Source organism: Homo sapiens, chromosome 18 (assembly GCF_000001405.40).
Source record: "Homo sapiens chromosome 18, GRCh38.p14 Primary Assembly".
Lineage (NCBI taxonomy): Eukaryota > Metazoa > Chordata > Mammalia > Primates > Hominidae > Homo > Homo sapiens.
The window spans coordinates 63,587,134-63,599,862 of NC_000018.10; the positions used below are offsets into that span (position 1 = coordinate 63,587,134).

A 12,729-nucleotide genomic window follows, 5' to 3' on the forward strand; every position below is an offset into this window, starting at 1 on the left:
AAAGTATGCATTTAATGTATGTGTTCATCAGGCTATACACCTTTGGTTCCCAGCGTTGGCTGTACATTGTAATCACCTGCGGTGATAAAAATTCTGATGCCTGGTTTCCACTCGAGAGATGCTGACTCAGTTGGTCTGGGGTGGGGCTTGGGCATAGATTTTTTTTAAAGTTCCAAGGAGATTTTAAGGTGCACGCAAGGTGGAAAACCACTGCTGAAGCAGATGTGGAGAACTATAAATTAAGGATCCCAGCTACTTAATTGACTTATGCTTCCTAGTTCGTTGCCCAGCCACCACCGTCTCTCCAAAAACCCGAGGTAAGTTCTTATTTTGGCTCCAATTTAAGACCTCTGTATTTTGAGAACAATGATGTTTGTTGTTTGAAAGAATTACTTTTATTTTGCATAGACTTTCTGGAGGTAGTTTTATTTAATTCAGTTCCAACATGGCCATGACAATGTATCTTCTTTGACAGTAAATTAATCCATTTTATTTCTGAGTTAACCTGTAAAGGATCTCTGCAAGGAAACCTGAGGTTGAAATGAAAGCTTTGATATCAGATGTGGGATGCCTTAGCGGGGATGAGCCCTTGAGGGCAAAAGGCCCCAAAGTATGTGGGCTTTAAAAAACTTTATTTTTCATTAATCTTATTCTTGTTTTAGGATTCCTCCTAAAGCCTTTACTTACTAGTTTTAAAGTAGTTGGTAATGAAGCAAACATAAAAACAGTTCTACCTATTTATTTTTGGCAAATATTAATTGCTCTTTAAAAACTATTTTTGTGAAATGACAAAAGTAATGCAAGCTCATGTACAAGCCTAAAACAATACAGAAAAGTATAAAAAAGAAAACCCTTTCATCTCCACCTAATAATTCATGACCAGAGATATGTGGTTTCTGCTTCAGAAAAATTCAGCCCAGAGTCAAGTTTGTATGCAGTTAGGGAAAGGGGTTTAAGAGATTTAATCAATCCTGTCACTCTCTGGGCTGAATTTTGAATCAATTGAGAAATAGTATCAGATAAGGATTCAAGTCTCGGCTTAATTATTGCTAAGGTTGGATCTGAGAGCACTGTTTGAACTTGAGGCCCGTGGAGATTCTTGTGCCTACCCCCCTGCCTTATCATGGGCCCCACATCTGGACAAACTGGTGTCGCCTGGACAAGGGCTGGGTCTACCTGGGGAAGCTTCCATGAAGAGGAGGCTGTGGAGAGGCAGAGACAGGCAGGGTCAGACAGAGAGCAAGAGAATAAAGCCATTAAAACATTAACCCTGCTCCGCGGGGAAATAAGAACTGAGCACCACCGGATGACGGAAGACTCCAGTAGATTGATGGATGTCTCCCAGCAAGAGAAGGCCAAGAGAGGACGTGAGAAGCAGGCAGCAGCGACCTTTCACCAAAAGGGTGGAAATCCCTGTATTCCGGATCGATGCAAGAAGAGGAATAGAAGCAGAAAGGATTCCCCTGACACAGAGTAATTCAAATGTTCAGTTTTGATTGTTGTTCTTGCTATTCTAGGTCTCGCTAAAATCATCATGGATTCACTTGGCGCCGTCAGCACTCGACTTGGGTTTGATCTTTTCAAAGAGCTGAAGAAAACAAATGATGGCAACATCTTCTTTTCCCCTGTGGGCATCTTGACTGCAATTGGCATGGTCCTCCTGGGGACCCGAGGAGCCACCGCTTCCCAGTTGGAGGAGGTTGGGCGCAGTCAGGGGGCTTCCTTGTTTCCTATGCACAAATTCATTTGGCGGGGGGGTTGTCAGCCCTCTTGCATTATCTTAAAAATACGCTCTTCTTGACCTGTGGACCAGGAAACAGAGACTTTCAAGACAAGGAGCAATTTCAGGTCTATCAGGAAAGCCCTCTTCCTTTTCCAAATACCATCTCGCCACCTGCTCCCAGATGCTTGAAATTTTTTTGAGTAGAGACTGGTTGCGTAACCTTGTCCAAGTACTTATGGAAAAAGTGACATAATCCCCACAAGGGTAAAAATGACACATCCAAGATGAACACAGGAACACATAAGCCAATACGAGTTCCTTAGAAAAAAATTAGAGGTATTTTTAGTAAAGAAGGGGATTCACCATGTTGGCCAGGCTAGTCTTGAACTCCTGACCTCAGGTGATCCACACGCCTTGGCCTCCCAAAGTGCTGGGATTACAGGCATGAGCTTAGCTGGGTGTGGTGGCAGGTGCTTATAATCCCAGCTACTCGGAAGGCTGAGGCAGAAGAATCGCTTGAATCCAGGAACAGAGGTTTCAGTGAGCCAAGATCATGCCACTTCACTCCAACCTGGCCAAAAGAGCAAAACTCCATCACACACACACACACACACACACACACACACACACACACGAAAAATCAGAGGTAAACGCAGACCTTTTTCTGATTTTGCAAGGAGATAATGTCACCTCATATACCACCGAGGTTTCTTTCAGAAGCGTCCACTCTCCCCTGACTGATTCTGTGTGAGGTTTTCTCTTCTCTGAGCACCACAGTAATATTTTCTATCTCTTCCAGGTGTTTCACTCTGAAAAAGAGACGAAGAGCTCAAGAATAAAGGCTGAAGAAAAAGAGGTGGTAAGAATAAAGGCTGAAGGAAAAGAGGTGGGGAGATGTGTTTTACAAACTTCAGTAGAGTTGCATTTTAGGTGTGGGGTCTCTGGGGAAAAGGACTGAGAAAGGCATGAAAGCAATATTGTTGCTTTACTATTAAGCAATAATAATCACCATAGACAAATATTGTTGTAAGGATTATACAATAATAATAACCCCTTAATATTGAGAAGAGACCTTAGGTGTAATGGACAATACCGCTATGATAGAACTGGTAAAGGCTAATAGACAGAAAAGTTCCCATAGCAGAGTGGATGGGTTTTGGAGTTAAACAGACTTAGGTCCAAGTCCTGGCTCAGTCACTTAAGAGCGATGCTACTTTGGGCAAGTTATTTATCTTCTTTCAGCCTCTGTAAAGTCCGCAGTAGGGGCATCTGGCAACTGAGCCAGTGGTGGTGGTGGTAGTAGCAGTAGGTGATATTATTGCTAAACTCCACTCATATTTTTAACCCCGTGCTGATGTTGTATTTAAAAAATTATTACAGGCCCAATGACTTCCTGAGGTCTTTTCCAGCTCCAGTGTTCCTGTATTCGCCATCCAAAGGAGAGTCTACTCAAATATGGGAAAGGAATAAGCCCATTAGGTCGGGGCTAGGATCAGACGTTAGCACTCTCAGGAAGGGCACAGCTGCTCTGACAGTAGTCATAGTGCAATTCCAGACCCTCATAAAACCATGGCTCAGATCACCCAGCAATAGGAGCTGCTCATTTCACAACCCCAAAAGGCTAGGTCGTGTGGGTGGCTCAGTTGCTCCTGTGGAGGGTCAGGCTTCCTTTCAGGGTTTGCGCAACCAAGTTGGGTCATATGGCCACTGCAATGTTCCCTCAACTGAGAAGTGCAGTTGTCTTCAGAGCACATTCTTTCTCAGCCATGATAGCCCATGTAGAACCTTTGTGCAAATTAGAAAACAGCTCATTCTTTTGGATAGCTGCCCTACTCCTATGTGAAGGGCTAGATGACTGGGGTGGAAACTGAATTTCAGCTTTGTGTAAGGCAAAGCTTACACATACATGCTGTCTAGCAGTTTTGCCCATTCCCCAGAATTTTCCTGGGAGCCACAGGGGTATGAAGAGAATAGAATTACTGACTGAAAGGATATTAGCACTGGAATACATCTTAGAGGTCATCTACTCCAATCTCCTCATTTAATAGTTTGCCCAGAGACTGGCTTGGCATGTACCCGTTTGATTATTATGTAAATTCAGAGTATTTTGAATCTTGCTTTTAAAAAATGCTGATAAAATCTCAAGACATATGTACAAAAGGTATAAGGAAAAATGCAATAAACACACTTTAACCCCTCCTTTAAGTGTACAAAATAAACTATTACCAAATCAGCTGATGCCCCTTAGGCTGATGTATAACACCTTCCTTGAGCACGCCCCCATCCTCTCCTCAGAGAGGAAGTCCCACTATTGTGGATTAGGTGTTCATTATTCCCACGTATTTATTATTTCATTACATGCCATATATTTTTGTCATTCTTCTTTGGAACTTGATTATTTTTGGCTTAGCATCATGTTTATAAGATTCATCTATTTTAAGGGGATACTTATAGCTCTATTTGATTCATTTTTATAGCTATTTCCTCATTTATTTTGTTGATGGGGCCGGCCTTCCTTCCTTCCTTCCTTCCCTCCTTCCTTCCTTTTTTCTTTCCTTCCTTCCTTCCTTCCTTCCCTCCTTCCTTCCTTTTTTCTTTCCTTCCTTCCTTCCTTCTACAAACAATGCAAAAATGGCCTTTTTAATGCCAGCCTCCTAATTTGCCTGGGTGAGAGTTTATCCAGTCCCAAGCTATCCAGTATAGTAGCTACTCAAGTGGCTATTGAACACTTGCAATACATCTAGTTTGAATCCAGATGTGCTATAGGTATAAAATGCATATTATATTTTAAGAACTTAGTATGAGAAAGGAATACAAAATATTAATTTTCATGTATTATTTTTGCTGAAATATGTATCTTATATATTAATATGTAATTAATATTTATTGTATTTATATGTTGAAATAATGACATTCTAGATATGTCGTTAAGGTAACATAGAATATGAAAACTTCAATCAGAAAACTGATGGGTCCTACATAAAATATTCAGAAAATTTTTTTTTTCCCCTGGAGACAAGGATAAATCTCACTTCAGCCCAATGTGTAGTGACTCATACCATTAGGAGTCACTCTTCTTATTCACTATCTGGAAAAATTTCCAAACTTCAATAGATAAGAATCGTCCGGAGAAATCACTTACTTTCCTTAGATGCTTAGAATCTTGTGGGGAGCTAAAAACAAGCTTATTGAACATTTAGTGAGCACTTTTATTTGAGACCAAAAAAGCCCACAACTTGAGTTATAAATGCAAGATCTGTGGTGTTGGGCTGGCAGAGAAGGCTTCTCTCTGGAGCTGAGATTGGTCATAACTGACATTATCATATGACTTGGGTAAAGGCTACCTGATATCCAGGGGCCACATCAAACACAGGGATCACCCTTGAGGCTGACAAACGGAGGGAGAGACCCAGCAGCCGCATCCTCTTAGGGGAGAATCTGGGCTTGCTTTTGCCAAGATAACCTGTTGAGATTTTGTTTTAATTTTCAAGATTGAGAACACAGAAGCAGTACATCAACAATTCCAAAAGTTTTTGACTGAAATAAGCAAACTCACTAATGATTATGAACTGAACATAACCAACAGGCTGTTTGGAGAAAAAACATACCTCTTCCTTCAAGTAAGTTTGCCATGCCTACCATATCTGTGAGTGGTATTCTGGAATGGCCAAATGGCCCTGGTAGGACTATGGGTCCTGAAGTCGTGCTGCCTGGCTCTGGCCACATCCCTGTGGTGCTTTTCCATCCTGATCTACAGATATTCAGAACTGCAGGGAGTTCCTTTTTAGTCCTGGCAATCTGAACCTGATTTTTGCCTCATCCCCAGAATAGCTGCATAAAAATGTGCAGCAGGAACTCAATGTGAGATGCCCAGGGCCTTAAAATTTCTCTTACTGTATTAGTCATCCTAATGTATACATAAATTTATTTAGAGATGTTGGCAATTGATAAATTGAGTTTTTAACCTCTTTTTATTCCTTCCTTGTTTCTCCTAAAGAAATACTTAGATTATGTTGAAAAATATTATCATGCATCTCTGGAACCTGTTGATTTTGTAAATGCAGCCGATGAAAGTCGAAAGAAGATTAATTCCTGGGTTGAAAGCAAAACAAATGGTAGAGTATGGGTGGGTCATTCATTGCAAAAAAACAAAAACAAAGAAACAAACAAACAAAAAACACTTCTTGACAACCTGCTGTGAATGAAGCCCTGGACTTGTCACTGCGTGGGGTGCCATGCAGTGCACAAGCTTTGGGAAGGGACTTGAGATAGGTTTTGCAGGGTTGGAAGGGCAAGCCCAGGCCTAGGAGGTAGGGAAGGCACTGCAGATGGTGGAGCAATTTCAGCAAATGTGGAGCGGCCAAGGGGAGCCAGTGAGGGGACTGCATGAAGCCAAATGCACGGAAACGCTTGCTGGAGAACTGTTTACACATAGCCATGGATCACAATATCTTGGGGGTCCTGAAAATAGGATGATGCCTGTCTTGGGTTTACATTCTTTCCTTTATATCAGAGCCTTTCTTCCTGAGTTTTTCTCTGTCTGTGTTAAATGAGAAACACGCAGCTCTCCCATCAAGACTTGTCGTTCCCATCCACAGCTGGGGCCACCTAGTCTTCATCTTCACTTAAGCATAGTGCAGGGGTAACGACAACCTACAGCTCTCCCCACAGCAGAGGATTTGACAAGTTTCTTATCCCATTATTCCTTTCTCATCCCCTGGTATGGGAAATCCACAGAGAAATGTTAATGTGGAAATTCACCTTGGGGAGCAATAGCTGATACTTTAGTGTTAGAGTTTCAGATTCCATTTTTATACCAATTATCAGAGAGAACTTTGTTATTCAGAATGTGTTTTTTTTTTCCCCTCATGCTTGGTCTGAAGAAAGGAAATAAAAGAAACAGAAAAAATAGGATCTTTCAAAAAGTTGAACAGTATTTTTTAGAATTTATTGTGGGATGGGGTGAACTCAGAGACAAAAATATCAACTCCTTCTCCAATATAATAAGTAATCCCTTAATCTCAGGTGGTAACTATATTGAATGGTAAGCATAATAGCTAACACAGAGTGCTTATTATGTGTGAGATGGTATTCTAATAGCTTTACATGTGTTAAATCATTTGTTCCTTTCAACAACCCTATGAGGCAGATTTTATTCCTATTTTACAGATGTGGAAACTGAGGCACAGAGAGTTTAAATAACTTGCCCAAGATTCCTCAGCTGATAAGAGGCAAACTGGATGCTAACAGAGGCATCTGACCCCAGAGTCTGGACTCTTAACCATGAACCTTAATTTATCCACTGGGATAAATAGGCGATGGGCAAAATGAGAACCTCCCCGTCGATTCTGCCAGCAAACCCTTTGTCAGCAAGGCCCTCAGGTGCTGACCTGGCTGGGTTTTTAATGATCAGTCAAGTCCATCTGCATCATATTTGTCATACATATTATTTGTCATTTGGAAGATGGGTCAACCTTTTTCTGTTTCTTCATTTGCAGAAAAAATCAAGGACTTGTTCCCAGATGGCTCTATTAGTAGCTCTACCAAGCTGGTGCTGGTGAACATGGTTTATTTTAAAGGGCAATGGGACAGGGAGTTTAAGAAAGAAAATACTAAGGAAGAGAAATTTTGGATGAATAAGGTATGGCCCTTAGTTTATTTTCGTGATGTGCTTACACATGGAATGTAAAGTCTAAAGTCATGGCTGGGCGTGGTGGCTGACACCTGTAATCCCAGCACTTTGGGAGGCCAAGGTGGGTGGATCATGAGATCAAGGGATCGAGACTATCCTTGCCAACATGGTGAAACCCCGTATCTACTAAAAACATAAAAATTAGCTGGGTGTGGTGGTGCACGCCGGTAGTCCCAGCTACTTGGGAGGCTGAGGCAGGACAATTGCTTGAACCCGGGAGGCAGAGGTTGCAGTGAGCCAAGATCATGCCACTGCACTCCAGCCTGGTGACAGAGTGAGACTCCATCCCCCACCCCCCCAAAAAAATCTAAAGTCATATTTGAGCAAATGCATACTGGTAGATAGTGGATGCTCATTCTGAGACTCTGATATTGGGTTTTATTTTAGATTGAGCTAATTATTTTGATGAACTAACTTGGTTGCCTTAATGCCTTTGGTCTTATGTCCTTTGATATTGTGTGCTCTGTTAATTTGTTGCAGAGCACAAGTAAATCTGTACAGATGATGACACAGAGCCATTCCTTTAGCTTCACTTTCCTGGAGGACTTGCAGGCCAAAATTCTAGGGATTCCATATAAAAACAACGACCTAAGCATGTTTGTGCTTCTGCCCAACGACATCGATGGCCTGGAGAAGGTAAACGCTTACACCTCCTTATTCTTTCTTTCATTTCCTAAGGCTTTTTGTCTCAGGGCTTCTGAGTAGGAGCTGGTGGCCAGCAGTGTCAAATAGAAAGTGTTTCTCACTCTCCAGCAGCTACAGATGGATGTCTACTGGGGAGCATTAAATAGTATGGGTCAGGTTTATTGAGAACAACTAATCCTAGAATGTTTGGGATGAACTAAAATGAACATTTAAGATTATATGGGAGTCCTAACGATCACCCACCATTCTGAGAAATGGTTGGTATCTATGGACCCCTTTCCTGGAAAAAAGAAATCACATATGCATATATACAACCAGTTCTGCACACTGTTCAATAGGCTTTTGGAGCTTTTGAATTTCTTTCTTACACTCTTACACCATTGATTTAGTCTCATCCATTCTGTGGTTAAAAAAATTATGTGAAGGCCGGGCGTGGTGGCTCACGCCTGTAATCCCAGCACTTTAGGAGGCTGAGGCGGGCGGATCACGAGGTCAGGAGATCGAGACCATCCTGGCTAACACGGTGAAACCCCGTCTCTACTAAAAATACAAAAAATTAGCCTGGCGTGGTTGTGGGCGCCTGTAGTCCCAGCTACTCGGGAGGCTGAGACAGGAGAATGGCGTGAACCTGGGAGGTGGAGCTTGCAGTGAGCCGAGATAGCGCCACTGCACTCCGCCTGGGTGACAGAACGAGACTCTGTCTCAAAATTAAATAAATAAATAAATAAATAAATAAATAAATAAATAAATAAATAAATTGTGGCTAGTGTCCTGTATTTTGAAAATGAGGAGAGTTTTGTTTCAAATCCCTGTTCCTCTAGTGGCTTTCTGACCCTTGAAGCTTCTTAACTTCCTTGAACTTCAATACTTTCCCATCTCTGAAGAGGGCTCCATGGTGGTTAACGTGCAGCAGTGTTGGAATGATTAGAGAAACGTAGCCTAGAAGGGGTCTAGGACATAGAAAGCACTCAAATGATAACTGCTATCGTCTTATACTACCAGATGCTGTGCTACTTCTGTGAAATATTGCTAGTAGCATTTTAAGTTGGAAAATATTTTGAGACAGCAAAATAGCAATATGTCTGAGAGCTTTAAGAGTATTTCTGATTCAAAAACCCCAGTTGTGGGAATTACTCTAAAGAAATAATGCAGAAGAAAAAAGTTGCCTTTCTGAGTAAAATCAGTTATTTCGGTATTAAATACACTGGAATGCCCAGTTTGAAATTCATCGTAATTATTATTTTGTATCCTTAGTAACTATCAAATCTATCACAATGCCTGATAAAGACTAAATGTTTGTAAAGTGAATGAATAGCTAAATATTGGGAAAAATTTATCAACTTCATAAGAATATTATCTAGCTGTTTGAAGATAGGAGAGATATGCAATATTGTGAAAAAGTTTACTTTTTATCAAATAAAATGGACATTCACTGTGATTGCAACTATGTAAATATATATGCATTCAAAGACTAGGAGAGATAGTTAAAATGAAATATATACTAGGTTGATAAAATAAGAAATGACTTATTTTTAATCTTTAAAAATGTATTCAATGCTATTGGATTTCCACATATACACAGATAATTTAAACAGAGAGATATAAGACAACCGCCTGCAGTATAAAGACAACAATCTAGTGAAATAAAATTTCTACTTTTAATATTACTAAAATTAATAACTTCTGACTGACACAAATCAGTGTTACACTGTTTTAGATTTTTATTGATAATCATGCCATTCTACTCTTCTTTTTTTGAAAATAGATAATAGATAAAATAAGTCCTGAGAAATTGGTAGAGTGGACTAGTCCAGGGCATATGGAAGAAAGAAAGGTGAATCTGCACTTGCCCCGGTTTGAGGTGGAGGACGGTTACGATCTAGAGGCGGTCCTGGCTGCCATGGGGATGGGCGATGCCTTCAGTGAGCACAAAGCCGACTACTCGGGAATGTCGTCAGGCTCCGGGTTGTACGCCCAGAAGTTCCTGCACAGTTCCTTTGTGGCAGTAACTGAGGAAGGCACCGAGGCTGCAGCTGCCACCGGCATAGGCTTTACTGTCACATCCGCCCCAGGTCATGAAAATGTTCACTGCAATCATCCCTTCCTGTTCTTCATCAGGCACAATGAATCCAACAGCATCCTCTTCTTCGGCAGATTTTCTTCTCCTTAAGATGATCGTTGCCATGGCATTGCTGCTTTTAGCAAAAAACAACTACCAGTGTTACTCATATGATTATGAAAATCGTCCATTCTTTTAAATGTTGTCTCACTTGCATTTCCAGTCTTGGCCATCAAATCAATGATTTAATGACTCCAATAATGTGTGTGTTTATAACCATCCTCGAAAGTGAAATGTCCTTTTCTTTGTGCCATGCGTAAGGTGAGTCAAACCAAACCTCATTGATAATCTCCCTTTGGTTTCCTTTGAAAGTAAATTGGTATCTTGTAGTTTTGTGCACACGAAAGGAGAGAAAGTCTCTCCAGTAAAGAGTACGAACTAGTAATTTTGGGGGGTCTCTCTAATTCTGGTATTTTGACATGTTATAATACGCAAGTAAAATAAAACAATAGTTTACTCAGCTCATGTTACTATTCCCCAACAGATATTGTGGCAAATCACACATAGGAAAGAGAATTTGGGAATACAGTAGCAAAACATAAATTAAAACTCAAATGCCAGGACAAAATAAAACAATATACCAGATGGAGAGGATGCCCGTATTTTCATCTTCCATTCTAACATTATCCATTGTTAGATGCATAAGCATTTTGATATTGTGTAATAAATGTGGTATTTGAGAAGATAAATGATGTAGTTGATCAGTATTCCTCCTCTATCACCTTTTTAGACTTTGTAAGGTAAATATTTGGACTAACTTTTAGAAAAGTTTCCCTTTTTTTCTCCATTTACATTTTTCTGGTTTTTTTTTTTTTTTGAGTGAGGTACGAGTATTACCAAATGATATTTTCTGAAGATGCTTTTTGGAAAGCTCTGAATCTATACCTAATGCTCTTAATTATTGGCTTGTTTCATTTTTTTCCTCCAGTTTTTAACAAGATCACATAACTGGCTTATTTTTAACAGCTTTGTCAAACTACAATTTACATGCCGTAAAATGTACACACTGTAATTTTATAATTCATTGACTTTTAGTAAATTTCTAGCGTTATGCATCGCCACAATCCAGTTTTAGAATATTTCCATGACCCTAAGAAGTTTCCTCATGTCTATTAATATTCCCAATCCTAGGCACCACTGAGTTGTTTTCTGTCTTTATAAGTTTTTCTTTCTACATCTTATATAAATGGAATCATAATACATGTAGTATTTTGTGTCTGGCGTCTTGCACTTAGCATGGTGTTCTTGAGGTTCATCTGTTGTAGTATGTATTGATACTTAATTTTTTTATTGCCGAATACTATTCCATTGCATGGAAAAGACCTATTTTATTTCTAGGTTCACCAGTTGAGGGACATTTGGATTGTTCCCACTTCTTGGCTGTTAGGAATAATGTTGCTCTGAACATGTAAATAAAGATCTTTGTGTTCACATATGTTTTCATTTCTGTTGGGGAGATTCCTAGGCTAGAAATTGCTGGGCCATATGAAAAATCAATAGTTAGCTTTGTAAGAAACAGTCAAACTGTTTTCCAACGTGACATTTTATATTCCCACCAGGAATGTTTAAAACTAGTGTCTTCAAATCCTCACCAACATCCAGGATTGTGTCTTTATGATTATAGCCATTTTTGTAGGTACAAAGTGGCATCTCATGGTGGTTTTAATTTGCATTTCCATAATATCTAATTAGGTTGAGCTTTTTTTATGTGCTTATTGGCCATTTGTTTGACTTTGTTTGGTGAAATGTATACAAATCATTTGCTCATTTTTAATTTGGGTTGTCTGTCTTGTCTTCTCATTTTATTGAGTTAAATGAGTTCTTAATAATCTCTGGCTTACAAGTCCTTAATTTATCAAATATATGATACGTGGACATTTCCTCATAGTCTGTGGTTTCTTTTAATTTTGTTATTAGTCTTTTTAGAACATATATAATAATTTTTAAAAGATATAATTTAATACCATAAAATCTGCATATTTAAAGTACAATTCATTGGTTTTAGTGTATTCACAGAGTTGTGTAGACACCTCCACTGTCTAATTTTAGAACATTTATAACACCCCAAAAGAAATTCTATACTCATTAACAATCACTCCCCATGCCTCTCTTCCCCAACTCATAGAAATAAATATTCTGTTGTCTGTCTCTGTGAACTTGCGCATTCTGGACATTTCATATAAATGGCATCATATAACATGTGGCCTTTTGAAACATGATTCTTTCACTTTGCCTAACAATTTTAAGTTACATTCAATTTGTAGCATGAATCAATACTTCATTCCATTTTTGGCTAAGTAACATTCCATTGTATGGGTACGTTAGACTTTGTTTATTCATTAATTAGTTAACAAACATTTGTATTTGACTTTTTGGCTCTTATGAATGTTACTATGAACATTTTGTGTGGAACAAGTTTTTGTGTGGATATATATCTTCATTTCTTTTGGGTATATACCTAGGAGTGGAATTGCTGGGTCATGTATTACTAGTACCTTTGTGTTTATCGTTTTGAGGAAATACTAAATTGTTTTCCAAATCAGCCGTACC

General features: G+C 39.5%; 1 protein-coding gene across 7 annotated transcripts, besides 1 other annotated feature; it reads left to right on the plus strand.

Annotated features, from left to right (window-relative positions):
• SERPINB13 (serpin family B member 13) lies at positions 210-12,059 on the plus strand. Of its 7 annotated transcripts, NM_001348268.2 has the most exons (9): positions 210-317; positions 1,518-1,699; positions 2,523-2,579; positions 5,215-5,343; positions 5,721-5,838; positions 6,893-7,105; positions 7,222-7,364; positions 7,896-8,051; positions 9,826-12,059. In NM_001348268.2, exons 6-9 carry the CDS (start codon positions 7,042-7,044, stop codon positions 10,228-10,230), a joined length of 768 nt encoding a protein of 255 aa, NP_001335197.1. In that variant the 5' UTR covers positions 210-317; positions 1,518-1,699; positions 2,523-2,579; positions 5,215-5,343; positions 5,721-5,838; positions 6,893-7,041; the 3' UTR covers positions 10,231-12,059. The 7 variants fall into 7 exon arrangements, with proteins under 7 accessions (NP_001335197.1, NP_001294852.1, NP_036529.1 ...); NM_001307923.2 differs by lacking the exon at positions 6,893-7,105 and having other exon boundaries at positions 2,523-2,609; NM_012397.4 differs by lacking the exon at positions 6,893-7,105 and having other exon boundaries at positions 2,523-2,582.
• Positions 1,496-2,695: an enhancer, noted in NCBI's record as "BRD4-independent group 4 enhancer chr18:61255863-61257062 (GRCh37/hg19 assembly coordinates)". NCBI's record gives its function as "activates an origin of replication core promoter dependent on BRD2, P300/CBP, MED14 and CDK7 cofactors, and independent of BRD4, by STARR-seq in HCT116 cells {active_cell/tissue: HCT116}" and the evidence as "EXISTENCE:reporter gene assay evidence [ECO:0000049][PMID:35650434]".